The 21,903-nt window shown below is 43.1% G+C and overlaps 4 annotated features.

Moving 5' to 3' along the window:
- Positions 7,320 to 7,614: a silencer, noted in NCBI's record as "tiled region #2424; HepG2 Repressive DNase matched - State 5:Enh". NCBI's record gives its function as "represses a minimal TATA promoter and a strong SV40 promoter by Sharpr-MPRA in HepG2 cells {active_cell/tissue: HepG2}" and the evidence as "EXISTENCE:reporter gene assay evidence [ECO:0000049][PMID:27701403]".
- Positions 7,320 to 7,635: a biological region, named in NCBI's record as "Sharpr-MPRA regulatory region 2424".
- Positions 7,466 to 7,635: an enhancer, noted in NCBI's record as "active region_6671". NCBI's record gives its function as "activates an Ori minimal core promoter by ATAC-STARR-seq in GM12878 lymphoblastoid cells {active_cell/tissue: GM12878}" and the evidence as "EXISTENCE:reporter gene assay evidence [ECO:0000049][PMID:35858748]".
- Positions 12,900 to 13,194: a silencer, noted in NCBI's record as "tiled region #14186; HepG2 Repressive non-DNase unmatched - State 23:Low". NCBI's record gives its function as "represses a minimal TATA promoter and a strong SV40 promoter by Sharpr-MPRA in HepG2 cells {active_cell/tissue: HepG2}" and the evidence as "EXISTENCE:reporter gene assay evidence [ECO:0000049][PMID:27701403]".

Here is a 21,903-nt window from a genome sequence, read left to right as displayed (position 1 = left end):
TGCACTCCAGCCTTGGCAAAAAGAGTGAGACTTTGTCTCAGAAAAAAAAAAAAAAAAAAAGAAGAGGAACAGCATGTCTTATCAATGTCACAATGGGAAAATGTTTAAAAGGCCACCAAGGATTACTCATTATTTACTACTGACAAGGCCTAGACTCTGTGAGGTCACATGTTCATTTAGGTTTATGTCCGGTATAAAAGATAACTCTAAAGATTATGGTTTCATTGCCCTGTAGGACATTAACCTCTTTTGACTTAACTAGTAATCTTATTCATACATTCTCTTTTACAAATTTCACTAATTTTTCTGAGTACCCAGGTCCCCAAATGGCCTTTAAACCAGCTTGATCATGCTTCTGGCTCCCCACCAGTGAATTGAATATGTGTTAACATGTGTTCATTATTTGACTCATGTTTGTAACTATTTTAAAATTGCTCTTTAACTAGTGGAATTTTATCTTTTATTGTTTGCTGAGTAAGATTTTTCATAATAACTTCTCTTCTGCTCTTTGATTAATGCTGAATAGAGTCATGATTTTACTAACATTTATTTTTGTGGCAGCCTCATGTGTAATCCCACCTGCATTCTTCAAAAGCATTTGTAAATAACCAACAAAACTATTTCCTGGTGTAAATCAGTGCATGGAAATCCGTTCTTGTTTTTAAAGGAAGTTAAAGTGAATGAGGTTTCTTCACAGCAATCTAGGATTTTTATCTACAGGGAAAAATCTGTGTTTATGTAGTTTTGTACTTATTATCAACCAACAGGTCTTGTAAATATAGGGTTTTTGCTAGCTTTTGTGTTAAAAGTTACATGTACTCACATAAATGGTTTGGGAAGAAACACTGAATTGGTTTGGAAGGAAATCAGTTCTTTAAAAAAGAAAACAACCGGCCAGGCGCGGTGGTTCACGCCTGTAATACTAGCACTGTGGGAGGCCAAGGCAGGTGGATTGCCTGAGCTCAGGAGTGCGAGACCAGCCTGGGCAACACAATGAAACCCCGTCTCTACTAAAATACTAAAAAAATACACCACTCGGGGTCGTGGTGTGTGCCTGTAGTCCCAGCTACTCGGGAGGCTGAGGCAGGAGAATTGCTTGAATCCAGGAGGTGGAGGTTGCAGTGAGCCAAGATTGCACCACTGCACTGAAGCCTGGGTGATAGAGTGAGACTCCGTCTCCAAAACAAAACAAAAACAAACAACCTGAACCATAAACAGTTGAATTCAGTCAGGATTGTTTGTTCATTGCATGAATAAATTTGACCCCTTAAATAATGGCCACTTGAATTCAACTGCTTTTCGGTGTAATACAGTTGCATCTTTGAAATTTTGGAGATGCAGCATGACCTCAAATGGTTGTAATTGCCTATTAAAAAAAACAGGCATGAGAAACTGTGCTACTTTAAATGCAACAGATACACATATTTGGACTTTGGTAATTCCATTTCAGTCTCTTCCATCCAGAGAGGTAAGATCCCTTTATATAAATAAATACCTGAGACTGGATCCTGGCTCACTCCTGTAATCCCAGCACTTCCAGCACTTTGGAAAGCTGAGGCGGGAGGATTGCTTGAGTCCAGGAGTTTGAGATCAGCCTGGGCAACGTGGAAGGACATTGCCTTTAAAAAAATACAAAAAGTAGCTGGATGTGATGGTGCGCACCTGTAGTCCCAGCTACTTGGGAGACTGAGATGGGAGAATCACCTGAGCCCGGGGAAGCTGAGGCTGCAGTGAGCTGTGATTGCACCATAAGACTCCATCCTCAGTGACAGAGCAAGACCCTGTCTCAAAAAAAAAAAAAAAAAAGATCATGACAAATGAGCTTCAAATGTTTTTCTTAGTGTTTCAAATATTTAAAACCAAAACAATGCTAATGATTTTTATAGACATTCCATAGTTCACAGCAATCTAGGATTTTTTTAGAATAACCATTCCATAGTTAAGTAATTAAATTATTGCTTTAGAATAACCATTCCATAGTTAAGTAATTAAATTACTGCTTAGAGCTGCGCATAAATGAACTATCAGGAAACATTTTCAATTTTTTCTCATCGAGGGCAGTGGGTAAGATAGAAAATAACAAGTGAGTTTAGTATGTTTTAAAAAACAGTATTCATCACTTTTTGCTCTCCAAATCTATTGTTTCATAAATATTGCATTGCCTTTGTTTAAAAATTGGGGTAAGCATTATACTCCTTACTTTAGGAGTTCCTATAGCAATCTGTTTCCCAAGATGGAGTATCAACCAGTATTTGACTAAAGAGGGAATATTTAGTTTTTAAAGTCATGTATTAAAAATTAAAGACCAAGAAGAAAATTCTATACTTCCATGATTGGCAAATTAGAATTGGTTAAAAAATAAAAATGTAGAATTGCAATATAATTTTTAACATGATTTTACTAATCAATATGGAAGTTATTTTTATCTTTAAGACTGACATTCCTTGTACTCAATAATGTTCGCAGGCATCTAAATCAGAATTTAGAATAGTTTCAAATGGACAAACACATAAACTTCTCAGATTTACAAAACTGTTTGTAACTCTTATTAAAAGCTTCCTAGGCCAGGTGCAGTAGCTCACACCTGTAACCCTGGCATTTTAGAAGGCTGAGGTGGGAGGACTGCTTGAGTCCAGGAGCTCAAGAGCAGCTTGGCAACATAGTGAGACCCCATTTCTACAAAAAATTTAAAAATTTGCTGAGTGTAGTGGTGCATACCTGTAGTCCTGGCCACTCTGGAGGCTGAGGTGGGAGGATTGCTTGGTCTTGGGCAGTTAAGGCTGCAGTGAGCCATGATTGTGCCACTGCACTCCAGCCTGGGTGACAGAGTGAGATCCTGTCTCAAAAGAAAAAAAAAAAAGAGGCCGGGCACGGTGTCTCACACCTGTAATCCCAATACTTTGGGAGGCCGAGGCGGGCAGATCACCTGAGGTCAGGAGTTTGAGACCAGCCTGGCCAGCATGGCAAAACCCTGTCTCTACTAAAAATACAAAAAATTAGCCGGGCCTGGGGGCAGGTGCCTGTAATCCCAGCTAGTCGGGAGGCTGAGGCAGGAGAATTGCTTTAACCCAGGAGGTGGAGACTGCAGTGAGCTGAGATGGCGCCATTGCACTCCAGCCTGGGCAACAAAGAGAGACTCCATCTCAAAAAAAAAAAAAAAAAGCTTCCTAAAGGTAAATATTTTTATTATTTGTTTCCGTTTTGATTAGTAAGGAATTAAAAGTAAATACAAATAATGAAAAATCTTTACTCTCAATAAAACATTTTCAAATTTAAAAAAAATTGGGGTTTGAAATTGTTCAAACCAGTTTCTAGCAGCATTTCCACTCTTCAGGCTTTAGTGCTTTTTTTGTCTTTAGAATATGGACTTCTGAATATAGACACCTTCACAGCTGCTTACCTGAACATTAAAGTTCATCTGTTCTGCAGGTATTATTGTTGTTATTATTATTTCTTGAGACAGAGTCTCGCTCTGTCACCCAGGCTGGAGTGCAGTGGCACGATCTCACTCACTGTAACCTCTGCCTCCCGGGTTCAAGCAATTCTCCTGCCTCAGTCTCTCAAGTAGTTGGGATTACAGGCATGCACCACCACACCTGGCTAATTTTTATATTTTTAGTAGAGATGGGGTTTCACCATGTTGGTCAGGCTGGCCTTGAACTCCTGACCTCAAGCGATCGCCCTGCCTCGGCCTCCCAAAGTGCTGGGATTACAGTTGTGATCCACCGCGCCCAGTTCTCTGCAGGTATTATTAAATGTTATCACAGAGGCTCAGTTATTTCAAATAAGCAGTGTTTACAAAGTCCTTTTCTGAGCACATCTCATCCAGCTTTGATTTATTTGGGGAAAATGGAAATGATCTGTGAGCTATCAACTCTTAGAACAAGAGAGTTGGTCAGGTGGTCAGGTTTTTTATTTTTGTTTTTTAAAATGACTGTTATAGTGGCAATGTGTATTTCTAGCTGAATATACAGAAAAAATTAAAGATCTGCAAGGGCTCAGTCAGAGTCAATCTACAAGGCTAGATGCTACTATTAGCCAGAGAAGCACCTGTTTCTCTTCTGCTGAGCAACTTTGAGGAAGGAATTTCTGTTATTTGCAACCCAAAGCAGATAAATATTCTTAAAAACATTCCCCCAGATTATTTTTTTTAATTAGCAAAATGGCACTAAATTTGAAAATAAAATGATACAGACAAATTAAAATTCTTACCACTTTAGACATTTCAGCATTTTGTTCACATAGCAGCATGACCTGTACAAAATGGCCTGTAACTGGCATCTCAAAAAAATTTTAAAAAGTTACAGGCACCATTTTACTGTGAGTAGTCAAATAAATCTTCAACTTAGAACAGTTTTTACCAAAGGGAAAAAATATTTTAAGTTTCTTTTTAAAGTCATTCTTTCAAGTAGTACACAAATTATTTAGAATTGAGTAGTACACAAATTATTTAGATGACTTTCCCACATTACAACTAGCTGCCTTAATTCCTTCAAGTAAAGATTTAGTATTCACTTAAAATTATTTTGAATGTTCCTCAGAAAAGCAAACTTAACATGTTTTGTGTGAAGAACTTGATGAATCTAACGTAATCATGGTCATCCTGAAGCAACAGTTCCAGTGACCAAAAATTATTCTTTTCTTACTTTTTTTTTTTTAAATAGAGACAGGGTCTCGCTCTGTTGCCCAGGCTGGAGCACAGTGACAGGATCATGGCTCACTGCAGCCTTAAACTCCTGGGCTCAAGTGATCTTTCCACCTCAGCTTCCTGAGTAGGTGGGACATAGGCATGTGTGACCATGCTCAGCTAATTAAAATAATTTCGTTTCTTGTGGAAACTGGGCCTCGCTATGGTGCTCAGGCTGGTTTCAAACTCCTGGCCTCAAGCAGTCTTCCAGCCTTGACCTCTCAAAGTGCTGGGGTTACAGATGTGAGTCACCACATCAGACCTGTTCTTTTTTATGAAAGAATGTAGGGGTTCCCAAAGGAAATAACATAGTTCAAGGAATTTGGGAAGGGATCTGGACATTTCAGGAGTTTTCAGCCTTCAGGATTTAACAGGTGGAACAGGTACAGTTTGTGTTGCTTAAGATACTTGGTAGATAGAGAGACTTTCAGTTTAGCTCCAGCCCACATAGAACTGGCCGGTATCTTTGCCCTGATTGGCTTTCTTTGCAGATAAACTCATGGACTCTGAGTTCAAATCCTGATTCTACACTAGCTGTATGATCTTGGGCAAGTTGCTTAAACTCTCTGTGCCTTAGTTAACCCATATGTAAAATAGAGATATCAGTAGAACCTATAATAGTCTTGCCTTGGTATTCACAGGAAAATTGATTCCAAGACTGCCTGTGGATACCAAAATCCATGCATGCTTAAGATCTGCAGTGGGCCCTGCAGAACTGTGGGTAAGAAAAGCTGGCTGTCCCTCCATATTTGCATCCCACAAATACTGTTTGGTTGCAGATACATAACCTGATATGGAGGGCCAAGCATATTTATTGACAAGAATTTGCACATAAATGTACCTGCAGGATTCAAACCCGTGTTGTTCAAGGGTTAACTGTACTATGTAAATTGCAGTAATTGACATAACATATATAAAAAAATTAGAAAATGTAGATGATACAGGACAAGCATTCAATAAATGTTTGTTGTTATTATTTTTAGAATTTCACCTATGTTGTCCTACGACTCTGTTTTTAACTTTGTTTCCATGTGCCTATATATGTGCTTTTAAATTTATTTATTTTGTGCATGTGATAATCACATATCTAGTCTTTTCTTTTTTTTTTCTCTGAGAAGAAGACTCAGTCTGTCGCCCAGGCTGGAGTGCAGTGGCATGATCTCTGCTCACTGAAACCTCTGCCTCCCAGGTTCAAACGATTCTCGAGCCTCAGCCTCCTGAGTAGCTGGGACTACAGGCATGCACCACCATAACCAGCTAATTTTTGTATTGCTAGTAGAGACAGGGTTTCACCATGTTGGCCAGGCTGATCTTGAACTCCTGACCTCAAGGTGATTCACCCGCCTCGACCTCCCAAAGTGCTAGGATTACAGAAGTGAGCCACGTGCCCGGCCATCATATGTGTAGTTTTTTTTTTTTTTTTTTTTTTTTGAGATGGAGTCTCGCTCTGTCGCCAGGTTTGAGTGCAGTGGTGCGATCTCGGCTCACTGCAACCTCTGCCTCCCAAGTTCAAGCAATTCTCCTGCCTCAGCCTCCTGAGTAGCTGGGACTACAGGCGAGTGCCACCACACCCAGCTAATTTTTTTTATTTTTAGTAGAGACAGGGTTTCACCATGTTGGCCAGGATAGTCTGGATCTCTTGACCTTGTGATCTGCCCACCTCCCAAAGTGCTGGGAATACAGGCGTGAGCTACCATGCCCGGCCCACGTATCTAGTCTTAACAGTACATTCAAAAACATTTTTGATAAAGTCAGGAAGAATTGGAATGTCTTCCTAATACTCTGAAATCTTATCAGATAAGAACAATCTTCAGATTCACCAATTACCAGATAAGCAAAGTTAGGGAAAATTCTTGTTGAGAGAGCAAAAGACTGCTGCTTCCTGGGTAGGGTTTTCCTCACAACCCATGAGGAGGATTACTTAATAAAACACTAAAAAGAGAAAAACACTCCATTCTGAGGTGACACGGTTTCCTTTCTTGTATGAGATGGATCTAAGGCATTCCAGTTTTTCTGTATACCCAGAGTCAAAGCTCCGGCTTTCTCTTGAGTCTCCCCTTCTGGAAGTCTTTTCTTTGCTTCCACTTCATCCTTTAGGTCTCAGCTTGGAGGACACTATTTCCTGAGAAGATTGTCCCCTTCGCCCTTCCTTGAGCTCTCAGAATAACCTGTTCCACCTCCTCCACCCACATTAGAGCATTTAGCATTGGCATTGGAAGCACCACTCTGTCAGTGTCTCCCATTGAACTGTAGCACCCAGAGAATGGAAAATGATCTATTATTTTGCTTATGGTTGTAACCTTGGCACCTAGCACAGTGCTTAGCACATAGTAGGTACTCAATAAAATATTGTTGTATTATGTCAGGCCTCCCAAGGCCTTTAAACTTTGGTGCTGGTGGCTCCTGTTAGCTGTGAATGTGGACATGGGAAGGGTTGGGTGAGTCTGAGACTTTGCCGGACATAGTTTCATATGAAGGGCTTAGAGAAAGGATGAATCAGGCCTCTAGAGCTCCCAAGGTAATAGGAATGTCCTTCGGTTTCTACGTACCTGCTCTCTTCCTTCCTACTTTACTCTTCAAATTTAGTCTTCAACTCCTGCAAAATGAATCAGCTCTGGTAAATCTGTCTCGGGGCTGAACAAGACTTACAGTAGACATTGGAGTGGGAGAGAAGCAGTCACTTTCCCATACACTTGGCCATCTCAGAATACTACTGTGGTTGTTCTTCGATTGAAAGGTCAAGCCCTGTGCAGAGTCCTCATCTGAAGATGAGCCTGTGGCTTGTTTCCTTTTCCATTTTCTGACCATAGCCTTCTCTGAGACTTCCTCCAAAGTTCATGAGTAATTTTGCTACTGTGAGTAACATGGTGTTAACTTCCTTTTGGAGGAGATAAACCTTACCTGAGTCATTCAAAGGCTTCTTGTTATTCAGATTCCTTTGTGTCAGGTTAACCCTGGCTGGACCTGTGCTTGCTTTGTATCATCTCATCTGCCTGTTAATCTCACTTGTTCATTTCCCTCTGCTGAAGGAGGGTATTAACTGGCCAAACAGTGTATACACTATATGCAAAATGATGTTGCTGTTTTGTTAGAGCAAGAGTCTTTTACCTTCTTGCAATTTGAATAGGAAGAAAAGGTCTGTTAAGAAGGTTTGTGCTGGGTAATGACTATGTGCCTCTTTCTCTTTTAGTTCTTGCTTTTAAAAAGGAAGTGACTCATACTGCAGATAAACTGGACTTGAAAGAATGTCTGGCTTATGCAAAGCTCTTATTTACATACTAGTCTCTTTCATTCACAAGCAAATAGGGACTCTAGGACTTTGGTTCTGGAGTTCCTCCCATTTTATTTTTGTTCTTTTATAAGCAGTGGCCTAAAATGATCCCTGGGGGGATTTTCTCTGCTCTTAGCAGGTCCCCCATTCAGACTTTTTTCTTTGCTGAAAGTAGGAATTTCATAAATATAAGACCAGGGACCAGAGAGAGGGTATAAAAATTTCCTCTCCTTCATTTCTAACTCCTCAGAATCTCAGACATCCCACCACTGGTATCTCATGTCTTCTTGTCTGTCTAGATGGAGCTATATTTACATCCTATGATTTCCTTCACAGAGTTCAACAAAGCAGCTTAGTGGAGAGGTTAGGAGTGCGTGCTTTAGTGTCAGCTAGACCTGGCTTGGTGCATACTCTTGGGCAAGTCATTTAATCTTAAGTCTATTTCCTCACTTATAGATGGGAATCATAATACCTGGATCCTTGTGCTGCTGTGATAGTGATGTGAGAATTTATGTAAAACATAAGGTTGTCCAATATTTGAGATTGTCATTAACAAGAATTTCATCTGTAACCTGATTTAATGTCTAATCCTTTTTTGATTTTAAGGTTCTTCTTTACGCCTTTTCTGAATCACTTCTTCAATTTATTTTATTTTATTTTTTTATATGCAGTATGATTTATTTTATATAATGTTCAAAAGCTTGCAAAAACAGCATATTGTTTACAGATGCATATTTTGGAGGTAAAATTATGAAGAAAAGCGAGATCATTATAAACAAAATTTAGGAGGGGGCTGGGATGGAGAAGGGCATGCAAAAGGGCTTTAACGGTGTTGGTTGTAATCTGTATCTTAAACTGGGTATGGGTAGTAGGGTGTCCAGTTTTGTTTTTGTTTATTTTTATTTTTATTTTTATTTTTTTATTGATCATTCTTGGGTGTTTCTCACAGAGGGGGATTTGGCAGGGTCATAGGACAATAGTGGAGGGAGGGTCAGCAGATAAACAAGTGAACAAAGGTCTCTGGTTTTCCTATGCAGAGGACCCTGCGGCCTTCCGCAGTGTTTGTGTCCCTGGGTACTTGAGATTAGGGAGTGGTGATGACTCTTTTTTTTTTTTTTTTTTTTTTTTTTGAGACAGAGTCTCGCTCTGTCGCCCAGGCTGGAGTGCAGTGGCGGGATCTCGGCTCACTGCAAGCTCCGCCTCCCGGGTTCACGCCATTCTCCTGCCTCAGCCTCCCAAGTAGCTGGGACTACAGGCGCCCGCCACTGCGCCCAGCTAATTTTTTGTATTTTTAGTAGAGACGGGGTTTCACCGTTTTAGCCCGGATGGTCTCGATCTCCTGACCTCGTGATCCGCCCGCCTCGGCCGGTGATGACTCTTAACGAGCATGCTGCCTTCAAGCACCTGTTTAACAAAGCACATCTTGCACCACCCTTAATCCATTTAACCCTGAGTGGACACAGCACATGTTTCAGAGAGCACAGGGTTGGGGGTAGGGTCACCGATCAACAGGATCACAAGGCAGAAGAATTTTTCTTAGTACAGAACAAAATGAAAAGTCTCCCGTGTCTACCTCTTTCTACACAGACATGGCAACCATCCGATTTCTCAATCCTTTCCCCGCCTTTCCCCCCTTTCTATTCCACAAAACCGCCATTGTCATCATGGCACGTTCTCAATGAGCTGTTGGGTACACCTCCCAGACGGGGTGGTGGCTGGGCAGAGGGGCTCCTCACTTCCCAGTAGGGGCGGCCGGGCAGAGGCGCCCCTCACCTCCCGGACAGGGCGGCTGGCCGGGCGGGGGGCTGACCCCCCCACCTCCCTCCTGGACGGGGCGGCTGGCTGGGCAGAGGGGCTCCTCACTTCTCAGGAGGGGCGGCCAGGCAGAGGCGCCCCTCACCTCCCGGATGGGGCGGCTGGCCGGGCAGGGGGCTGACCCCCCCCCCACCTCCCTCCCGGACGGGGCGGCTGGCCGGGCAGAGGGGCTCCTCACTTCCCAGTAGGGGCGGCCGGGCAGAGGCACCCCTCACCTCCCGGACGGGGCGGCTGGCCGGGTGGGGGGCTGACCCCCACACCTCCCTCCCGGACGGGGCGGCTGGCCGGGCGGGGGGCTGACCCCCCCACCTCCCTCCCGGATGGGGCGGCTGGCCGGGCGGGGGGCTGACCCCCCCACCTCCTTCCCGGACGGGGCGGCTGGCCGGGCAGAGGGGCTCCTCACTTCCCAGTAGGGGTGGCCAGGCAGAGGCGCCCCTCACCTCCCGGACGGGGCGGCTGGCCGGGCGGGGGGCTGACCCCCACACCTCCCTCCCGGACGGGGCGGCTGGCCGTGCGGGGGGCTGACCCCCCCACCTCCCTCCCGGTCGGGGCGGCTGGCCTTGCGGGGGCTGACCCCCACCTCCCTCCCGGATGGGGTGGCTGCCGGGCAGAGATGCTCCTCACTTCCCAGACGGGGTGGCTGCCGGGCGGAGGGGCTCCTCACTTCTCATATGGGGCGGTTGCCAGGCAGAGGGTCTCCTCACTTCTCAGACGGGACGGCTGGGCAGAGACGCTCCTCACCTCCCAGACGGGGTTGCGGCCGGGTAGAGGCGCTCCTCACATCCCAGACGGGGCGGCGGGGCAGAGGTGCTCCCCACATCTCAGATGATGGGCGGCCGGGCAGAGACGCTCCTCACTTCCTAGATGGGATGGCGGCCGGGAAGAGGTGCTCCTCACTTCCTAGATGGGATGGCGGCCGGGCAGAGACGCTCCTCACTTTCCAGACTGGGTAGCCAGGCAGAGGGGCTCCTCACATCCCAGACGATGGGCGGCCAGGCAGAGACGCTCCTCACTTCCCAGACGGGGTGGCGGCCGGGCAGAGGCTGCAATCTCGGCACTTTGGGAGGCCAAGGCAGGCGGCTGGGAGGTGGAGGTTGTAGCGAGCCGAGATCACGCCACTGCACTCCAGCCTGGGCACCATTGAGCACTGAGTGAACCAGACTCCGTCTGCAATCCCGGCACCTCTGGAGGCCGAGGCTGGCGGATCACTCGCAGTTAGGAGCTGGAGACCAGCCCGGCCAACACAGCGAAACCCCGTCTCCACCAAAAAAATACGAAAACCAGTCAGGCGTGGTGGCGCGCGCCTGCAATCGCAGGCATTCGGCAGGCTGAGGCAGGAGAATCAGGCAGGGAGGCTGCAGTGAGCCGAGATGGCAGCAGTACAGTCCAGCTTCGGCTCGGCATCAGTGGGAGACCGTGGAAAGAGAGGGAGAGGGAGACCGTGGGGAGAGGGAGAGGGGGGAGAGGGGGAGGGGGAGGGAGAGGGAGAGGGAGAGCCACTTCTTCAATTTAAACCACTTAATCTCTCACTGTTTTCTGGGTTGATGAAGAAATGGTGGTGGTTTATGTTTTCGGTTACAAGAGCCTACTAGATTCTCAAAAATTCAGGTTTGTTCTAGAGACTCCTGGGCAGGCAGACGAATGCAGGGTGAGGAGTTTATTTTATCTAACTACACAGTTAAAGGGTTTCCTAGAGGCCAGGATTCCTTGCCCTGCCCATCAGCTTCTGAACCAGAGATGACCTCAGGCTGGTGTGATCCAGAACAATCCCATTTAGACCTGGCTCCGTCTTCCCAGCAAAACAGCATCCGGCCAGGGCACTAGGCAAACAATCTTCTCTTGTTTTCACCTCCTTAAAATAACTCTCCTGCACTCAAAGACAATTATTAATCTAGTCACAGCTTGTACAGTAGTTTGGGTACAAACCAATATTAAAGTGAACTCCTGGCCAGGCGTGGTGGCTCATGCCTGTAATCCCAGCACTTTGGGAGGCTGAGGCAGGTGAATCATGAGGTCAGGAGTTCAAGACCAGCCTGGCCAAGATGGTGAAACCACATCTCTACTAAAAATAACAAAAAAATTAGCCGGGCGTGGTGGTGGGTGCCTGTAATCCCAGTTACTCGGGAGGCTGAGGCAGAGAATTGCTTGAACCCGGGAGGCGGAGGTTGCAGTGAGTGGAGATCGCGCCACTGCACTCCAGCCTAGGTGACAGAGCGAGACTCTGTCTCAAAAAAAAAAAAAAAAAAAGTGAACTCCTTTGAGTTTGTCTCATACGTTCTACTTTTTATTCCTTTAATATTTCTTTTGCTTTCCGAATATGCTTTGGTGCATATTCATTCACTTGTTCTTTTCAACCCTTCCTCTTGCTCCCAAACTCATCAACTAACTGATGGTGAATGGAAATTTGAAATTAAAGAATTACTTAGTCCTCCCACGTACACCATGCATTCTCCAAATATTTTATAAACATCTTCGTGGCTGGGTGCAGTGGCTCACAGCTATTATCCTGGCACCTTGGGAGGACAAGATTGGCGCATTGCTTGAGCCCAGAGGCTGCAGATATCTCTACAAAAATTAAAATTAAAATAAATTAGCTGGGTGTGGTAAAGTGCACCTGTAGTCCTTGCTACTCAGGAGGCTAGCAGTAAGCTATGAATGTGCCACTGTACTCCATCTAGCTTGGGTGACAGAGTGAGACCCTGCCTCAAATAAGTACATAAATAAATAAAATTAAATAAAAATATCTTCTCTATGCCAAGTACTGTACCAGATGCTGGGCATATGTTTAGAGAGAGAGAGAGAGAGAGAGAGAGACAGAGACAGAGAGACAGAGACAGAGAGACAGACAGACACAATGCTTGTCTTTATGGAATTTATAACCTATCATCATCATTATGGGACATTTTAGGGTTCTGTTAGCACCCATCCAGCAGCCATCTCACAATTTCATAACCTTCTTAATTTTGTTTGACTTTCACCTCCTTTCCACTTCAGCCATCCTTTCACATAGGCACTTCATAGGCATTTACAATTACACTTGACCTTGTCATCAGTCAGAACTGACATCTTAAACTCTAAAGACTGGCTTGCTACCCACAGCCTCCCATCCTCCCAGCTTTCTCACCCCCATTTTCCAGCTATGCAGGATGGCGAGTTTCATTTTTCTTTGAGTCTATCAGTCGCTTCCGTGTTTTCCTTCTCTTCCTATCCAGTCTAAACAGGATGCTGGCTTACTGCTTGAATTTGTCCCTGGTTAATACCATCATATCCTTTGCATCTTTTTCTGTGGTCATATCCTTTAAGATCTGTACTCTGTACCAATGCAGCTTTTTCGCTTTCACATCAAGGCTTCTGAATGCTGCTAGGAAAAAAAGTCACTTGACTTTGTCACAACAAATTTATTGTCTTCATCTTTAGCCAGACTTACAATGCTTCACCGTAATCTTTCTGTATGCTTTCAGTTGTATCTTTCTTTCATTTCCCATGATTTCATTGCTTTTTCTTCTGGCTTATAAAAATATATATTTTTGGTTTAAAAATTTTTATTATGGAAAAATTCAGATATATATAAAAGAGAGAATAGTCTGATAAACTTTTATATATCTATCACTCAGCTTACAGCCAATCTTGTTTAATTTAGGGCCTTTATCCTACCCCCAGATTGCTTTAAAACAAATCCTTGACACCATATTATTTTATCTGTAAATATTGTGCGTAGTCTAAAAGATGAGGGCACTTAAAAAATTAACCACAACAGCATTATCTAAACAAAAAAGTTAACAGTAATTTCCTAACACCAGCAGACCTGCAGGCAATTTTCTTATTTCCCAAATTGCCTTTTGATTTTTTAAAGTCTGTTTGAATCATGATCCAAATGAAGCACATGTTATTGTGATGGGTTGACATGTCTGTTAAGTTTTTTAAAGTAAAGTTTCCCCCTCCTTTTCTCTTTTTTCTTGCTCTGTGTGTGTATGTGTGTGTGTGTGTGTATGTGTACACACAGGGTCTCATGTCTGCTTTTTGAAACCGTTACTGCGTTACTATGACCAACTCTCATTCTTGACAGCTGATCAGTATTTATGGGAAGAGTCCCTTAACTCCCTGCCCTTCTGTCTGTAACCTGATTAACATCTGCATACATCATTCCCTCCTCTGCTAGTCTCTAAGGAAAGTAGTCTCTTACTCCCATCTAAGGCTAATTCTTCCATCAGTGCCCTGGTTCCCTCCTTACTTAGGGAGTGCATTTCATTTTTTAATCCTCCCTTTTTGGCATCTTTATCTCCCCCTGACTTTTTCCTGTCAGTATATAAACATGTTCAAGGCTCTCTCAACTATACAAACAAACTAACCAACCAAGTAATAGTCCCCCAGCACTGACATACACCTATACCCGCAGATTTTCAGGCCTGTGTATCATTCTAATTTTGGTTCCATCTCTCATCTTCCTTTCAAAGCCAAACTTCTATAAAATTCTCTAAATTCATTTTTTTTCTACTTTCTTAACTTCCATGTACTCCCTAATCCACTGCCTGGCTTTGGTTTCTGTCACTCCTCAGAAATAGTGCTTTGCTTTCCAAGCTCCCCAAAAACCTCCTCTGGGCTAAATGCAGTGGGCATCCTTTGAGTCTTTATCTCATTTGAAATCTCTGCCGTGTTTTGCAGTGTTGGCCATGCACTGGTTCTTGAAACATTCTCTAGCTTTGGCCTGTCTTGGTTTTTCTCCTACCTCTCTGATGGCAACTTCACAATTTCTTTGAAGGTTTTTCTTCCTCTTTCTGCCTTAAGTATTTTGTGAGTTCTATACCATTTCCCTGCATGATCTCATCTATTCCTATGAATGGCTCTGAAATCTTTCTAGTGTGAACTGGACCTCTGTAACCCATTGCCTATTGGACAAACATTTAATGTTCCTTGGACAACTCAGACTCAACATAGCTAAAGATGGATCCTTCCCACTTAATTTATTCTCCTTCCTGCATTGTCTATCTCTGTGAATGATAGCCCTGTCTACCTAGTTGCCTGAGCCAGAAATTTGGTAATTATCTTTGATGCCTTCCTCTGTCTCCTTGCTATCTTTACTCCCATGTCTAATGAACCACCAAGTGATATTAATCTTAACATTACTCTCTTTTCATGTTCTCCTCCCCAAAGCTCCTCATATTTTACATAGATTGCTGCAATGGCCATGACAGGGCATTCTCCCTCCTATATAGGATCCTTTGATCTTCTTCCCACACTACTCCCCGAGCAATCAGGTTACCATGCTGCAAGAAACCCTCCAATAGCTTTCCATTCCTCCAGTGAAACAAAGAAGTGTGGGAGCGAATATATAAAGCTCTTTTTACTTGGGGAAGTCTTACCTCTTCATCTTCTTCAGCCATTCCCCATCTCCTTTCCTACAACCCAACTCCTTGCATTTCCGAAAAGGGTCTATTTTCTTAAGCCTGTGCCCATGCTGCCTGCTCCAATTAGAATGTTCTTCCTTTCCTTTGTTTAACTCAACCTTCTAGCTAAGGTCAAAGGGGGGTCACCTCTACTAGAAATTCCTCTCTAATCCCCGGTCCAAGTTAGGTGCTCTCCTTATCTATCTGCCTCGAAACATCTCTCATGATAGGCCATGCTCACTGCTTTACTCTGTCCTTTACCTATTGATGTATCTGTGGTCCTGGCCAGTGTTCAGACCTGGCTCCCCAGGTCATGGAATGTCCCAGCTGGAAAGGACTTCCTCTTCATTTTGCAGATGATGATTTGTTTGTGTCTTACTGCCTTTAAGAAAGGAATCTGAACTTCCTGTTTTAGCAATTGGAAAACTGTTTACTAAGGCTCTGCCTTGGGCAAGGTGCTATGTTAGGCATCTTCAGAGTATATAGAAACCCTTCTCTTAAGTTGCTCAGTGAGGCAGGGGAGATAAAATATCTAATAAGTAAAATGCAAGCAGTAAAGAGGCAAATAAGAGAGGTAGAGATAAAATGCTGTGAGACCTCAGAGGAGGGTATGATAAAGGACACTGGGATCTGCAAAGGGGTCAAGGAAAGTCCTGTGGAGGACTGATGTAGGAGCTGAGCCTTGAACATGGGTGGCAGGGAATAAATTGTAGAGGGGGCATTTGGGGCAGAGAGGCTAGTAAGAGGAAAGGCAGAGGCTAATTGAATTTTAAGCAATGGGCATAATTTGCTGTCTGAGAGTTAGCAGTTTCTTTCATGATTTTTTTTAATTGCAAAAATTGTGTAGCACCAAATTGGGATCTTTTGTTGCTTGAAAAATATTTAGATAGCCTAGATATATTATCCTGTGTCATCATGTTACTTTGGCTGTCTCCTTTTTCCCAGCATTCAGAGGATCAAAAGTTTGTAACATTTATTTATTTATTCAGTAAACAGTTATTGATCTTCACTATGGGCTGGGTGTAATGGCATTCACAAAGATAAATAAGACAAAATCACTGTTTCCAAGAAGTCACAGTGTTGTGAGTGTGGTAAGAGATAGGAAGATTACAGGATGGTTAAAAAACAAAGTAGGCCAGGTGTGTTGGCTCATGTCTATAATCCCAGAGCTTTGGGGGGCAGAGGCGAGTGGATTGCTTGAGGCCAGGAGATCGAGACCAGCCTGGGCAACATAGTGAGACCCCATCTCTACAAAAAATAAAAGAATTAGCTGGGTGCAGTGGTGCATGCCTGTAGTCCCAACTACTGGGAAGGCTGAGGCAGAAGCATCAATTGAGCTCAGAAGTTAGAGTCAGCAGTGAGCTATGATCACACCACTGCACCCCAGCCTGGGCAACGGAGACTGTCTCTAAAGCAACAACAATAACAAGATAATAAATACTGTCTGTGACACAGGTATGAGGAGGTTGCTATAGAAGCTGAGCCAAGGGAGCCCCTACCTCTGGCCTGGGGGCAAGAGGAACCATTGAAGAAAATTTGAAACCTCTGAAATAGGCAGGGATAAAAAGTGTCCCAGAGACAGTTACACTATGTGAGAAGTAAATGGGAGGTGAGAAAATGGAACCAAGGTGGGTAGCTTTTTGTACTTTCGTAGATTTGCAACTGAGCTTCAGCAATATTTCTACCCTGATCTATGTTATTTTTATTTTATTTTAATTTTTTTTTTATTTGAGACAGAGTCTCACTCTATTGCGCAGGCTGGAGTGCAGTGGCACGATCTCGGCTCACTGCAACCTCCTCCTCCCAGGTTCAAGCAATACTCCTGCCTCAGCCCCCCGGTAGCTGGGATTACAGGCATGCACCACCATGCCTCGCTAATTTTTGTATTTTTAGTAGAGATGGGGTTTCACTATGTTGGCCAGACTGGGGTCGAACTTCTGACCTCAGGCGATCCACCTGCCTTGGCCTCCCAAAGTGCTGGGATTACAGGCATGAGCCACCATGCCTGGCCAATCTATGTTATTTTTAAAAGAAGAAGAGAAATAGATCAAGGAAGAGGAGAAAGACCTGGTTCCATAGATCTGACTCTGCAGTTTGTGTGCTGTGTAATAGAGAAAAGTTAGTGTCAATTTGGACATGGGCCAAATGACCTTTTGAGTCTCTTGTAGCACAAATGACCTGGAATCCTGTTTTCTTTATGATTATGAAGCTGGGCATAGGTATTCTGATGGGCACAGCCAAGATATTTAAGCCAACATTTGCTGAGAAACAGTGAAACTCATTTTCAGACATTTTTCCCCCATGACTGAGAAGTGTTAGGTTTTTGTCCAGCAGCAGTAGCTGTTGATTGCTGTTTTCCTGAGAGAGGGAGGCTTTTTTTTTTTTTTTTTTTTTTTAACATTCTGACACCTTTTTTTTCCCCTCCGTATCAGTACTGCTCACTAACCACATCATATGGTGATAAGAACTGAAATTACTCATTGACATTATCGTGGGGCTATTTCGAAAACATTATCTCATTTCATTTCCTAGAATATCATCAAGTCTCCACAATACCAGTTCCTTAAAGGAGAATGTTTTTGTTCCAACTGAAACCAAAATATTTTAGTGAATTTTGTCTTCAGTATTACTTCCTTCCTATTCTAATACTGTGGTCAAAAGTATAACTTTTGGCAAACTCTTTGCCATAGCGGAATCTGACTTAGTTTGCTGAATTTGAAGTTAGCTGTTTTCAGTAATTTCTTTTCTTTTTTTTTTTTTTTTTTTTTTTTTTTGAGATGGAGTCTTGCTCAGCCCCCCAGGCTGGAGTGCAGTGGTGTGATCTCGGCTCACTGCAGCTACCATCTCCTGGGTTCAAGTGATTCTCCTGTCTCAGCCTCCTGAGTAGCTGGGATTACAGGCACCCATCATCATGCTCGGCTAATTTTTGTATTTTAATAGAGATGGGGTTACTCCATGTTGGCCAAGCTGGTCTTGCACTCCTGACCTCAGGTGATCTGCCCCCCTCGGCCTCCCAAAATGCTGGGATTACAGGCTTGAGCCACCGCATGCAGCCTGTTTTCAGTGATTTGTCTTTACTCTTTATGTAGATTATCTGCATTGCAGATTACTTATTGTAATTTTCAAATCCTGGGCTGAATTTCTTTCATCATTTCCTGTGGATTTGTCATCTCTTTCCTCATCCTCACCCTCTATTCAGGCACCATGTAACCAGGCAGTTAGACAAAGCATTGTTTCATAGCTGAATCCATCACATATTTTTTTTATATATATTCCCAAAGGTATACAAATAGTTTTCATATTGTTTGAGAGTTTGATTTGTTTCCACTAACATAGAAAAATAGTTGTTTAATAATTAGACACTCCTTTTGTTTGATCTTGACTCCTTTTTCATGAGACCAGATGAAGTATTCATTAATGTTCCTATGAAATAATTATTTTGAAAACTTTTAACCAGTTCCAGTTTTTTTTTTTTTCACTTTTCTGATGTATTGATCATTCATGCATTCACTGACCATTTACACCATTTTTATATTGCTCTCTAAACTGCTATATTCAAAGCTAATTGTAGGCAACATCCTTAAATACAGTTAAAGCAATAATAGTTCAGGGGGACGAGTGTTAGCAGCATTTTAGGATATTCAGAGAAAGAGGTACAGTAAGACATCTTAGAGCTTCTGGGAGGCCAAGGGGCTTGCTGGCTAATGTTTCAACCATCAGAACTTGTTTGAGCAACAGTCTTGGCCCTACTACATGAGTCATAAACACCAGGATAGGCGATGCCTTCAGCCAGATGCAATGGAAAAGAGTTTGTTAACATGGAAAATATGGGATGGCTATACCACATACGTCAGTAGGACTCCCAGAACTGAGTCTTTTAGACCCGTTAATTACTTTTTGAGTGAATTAATGTATATGAGCAAACACATTTAGGGTGTTGCTAGCCTTATTAGCCAATAAGCACAATTCCTTGCCAGACAGTTTAAGACTGAGACCAGCTAGTTAATGAATTTACTGAAAGGCTCATTTATAAGGCTGCTTCACAGAGAATTTAGCAATAAACAATTCTGCCAACTCTTGATCTTTCAGCTATAGCCTTTCTTCCTGTATTTCTTTGGAATAACACATAATTAACATACAGCGATCAAGTTTTTGCTTGTCATTTAATATAGCACATTTTTTCTTTTGTTTTTTAGTATCTTTGCATATCAAGCAATGCTTTTAAAACTTATGCAAGCGTTGTATTTTGGACTCTATTTCTTTATAATTTTTTGTATCATCCTGCTGGGTAGATAGTGTGGGAAGAAATGCAGAGATTTTTATTGAATACTGCCTTGTTTTTAGGTGGTGTTTAATATTTAGATATGTTGGGTCTGCTAATTTAGGAGGAAAAAGTATTCTTTGGATTTTTCTTTTGCATAGCTTATTTTAGTTGCCAATCTTTTCTGGGTCTGAAGGGTCAAAAATGGCTGATAAAAATAGGTAAATAGCAATGAATGTGGTTGTAGGAAAATAGGAACTGATGGTGCTATGAAAGTGTTAATCTCCCATCATCAGTCTATATTCCTGGTTTTAGTGTCACAGGAATTTGACAGCCTCCTGAACTTTAGCCACCTCTCAGAAAATCCTGCTTCTCTTTTGAACAATGACTCCAGGGCTGGAAGATGGGTGAGGCATCCACTTAGTGTGTCAACAATGTAGAAAGGACCATGGTGAGAAGCTGACTAGAAGCCCACAGTGCTAGTTAAAGAGAAGAGGACTTTGAAAAGAAGTGAGAATAAGTGTGAACAGTTGACTCCAAGTAGGAAATTAGTGGAGGATGAACTAAATTAGAGTTCGGGATAAGCAAAGAACAAAGGTATATTCTATGGCCAGGATCCAGGCTGGTTGTGTAGTGAGTGAGGCAGTTTTATGTATTGAGTGTGCATTCACAGAATGTAGGGGTGCGTGTGTGTGTGTGTGTGTGTGTGATCAAGTCAGCTGTTTTCTCTTTAGCTCCAGTTAGTTGTCAACATGTGGGCCTAATGTTGCTGGGTCATCCCACTTTTCAGAAGAAATGGGAAACCTGATATTTTAAAGGGAATATGTAATTTTTTTTTTTTTTTTTGAGATGGAGTCTTGCGATGTCACCCAGGCTGGAGTGCCGTGGCTTGATCTCGGCTCACTGCAACCCCTGCCTCCCGGATTCAAGTGATTCTCCTGCCTCAGCCTCCCGAGTAGTTGGGCTTACAGGCGAGTGCCACCACACCGGGCTAATTTTCGTATTTTTAGTAGAAACGGGGTTTCAGCATCTTGGCCAGGCTGGTCTTAAACTCCTGACCTCGTGATCCACCTGCCTTGGCCTCCCAAAGTGCTAGGGTTACAGACATGAGCCACTGCGCCCAGCCAATATGTCAGATTTTAAAATGTAGCACTACATTAAAAAAACTGTGTGAGCCCAGATGACTATCTATGAGCTGATGGGACACTTTGGTCATCAGTGGGTCACCTCTATTCAAAGCTGATTTCAGGATTACATGCTACATGCTGAGAATTGTGCTACTGATTAACTGGGCAACCTCAAAATCACCATCTGAATAATGTGCTCTAAGAAGACTTAGCACATAAGGTTGTTTTGAGAATTAAGTAAGATGATTGATTAAAAAAGCCTCTGCCACAATGCAAGGCAGATAATAAGATAATAAGTGTTAGCTGAATTTGTATCAGCAACCTCACGTAGTACTGAGGGCTGGGTTGGTCTTTTTCATGTCTACATTCAAGACAAGCTTAGGAGGAATAAGTGGTGAGTTCTGTTATGTGTTTTTACAATGGCTTCCTCCAGAAGTCTCTCTTCGCCTTTGTCTGCCAAGGTACATATTTGAGATAAACCTTTGCAGCTATAGATAGGTCTCTGTTCAATATAAATGCCCCCTGCCTCATGGGTGAGTGGGCATGGAGGTGTAAGGTGGTAGAGATCATATGAATTGCATAGATGTAGCTATAGTACCTTTGTGGCCTTCTGCCTCCCCATCCCACAATCTACTCCTTGAGAGACTGCTTATCCCTAGAGCTTACTTTCAACCATCAACCAGACACTTAAGACACTTGAGACAATTAGTTATCTGAGTATAACTAGACATAAACCTAGCCACCTCCATGAATCAGGGATGTCAAGGGAAAAAAAGATTTGACTGTCTGTCTTTGGGAAGCATCTAACTTTCCTTTACAGAAAGGTACAGGGAAAAACCTGTCTGTCTTCCTCAATTTACATTTCTTGCTAGTTTTCACCCAGTGTTCCCTTCCACTGTATCCCCACTATGACACATATTAGGGAGCTGTTCCTTAGTGTTCAGAAGGTGTCACAAGGCTCTTAGGGCCAGGGGGAGAAGCAGCTTCATCTCGCTAGGCAGCTCCGGGTGTTAGGCTGTCCAGTGTCATACATAAAGGCTTATGAGATTCAGTTTGGAATGATGTCCCAAACTATTAGTGATGTCTTCCATAGGCCCATGAGTGGAAAGTAGAAAGACATGCTAATTCTGTGCCTAGTAAATATAAATATTCACTTAAATTTGATTTAAAAACAAGGAAAGAAAAGTAAGTTTGCCCATATCTATCCCTGGGTTTGTTTTGATGTGTTGAAACTAAAGGACAGGCCGGGTGCGGTGGCTCATGAGCGCCTGTAATCCCAGCACTCTGGGAGGCTGAGGTGGGTGGATCACCTGAGGTCAGGAGTTCAAGACCAGCCTGGCCAACATGGCAAAACCCTA

The sequence above is a fragment of the Homo sapiens genome, chromosome 12 (genome assembly GCF_000001405.40).
Source record: "Homo sapiens chromosome 12, GRCh38.p14 Primary Assembly".
NCBI classification, from domain to species: Eukaryota; Metazoa; Chordata; class Mammalia; order Primates; family Hominidae; genus Homo; species Homo sapiens.
The sequence above is the reverse complement of the archived record's forward strand: the minus strand, read 5'-3'. Positions and strand labels throughout refer to the sequence as shown.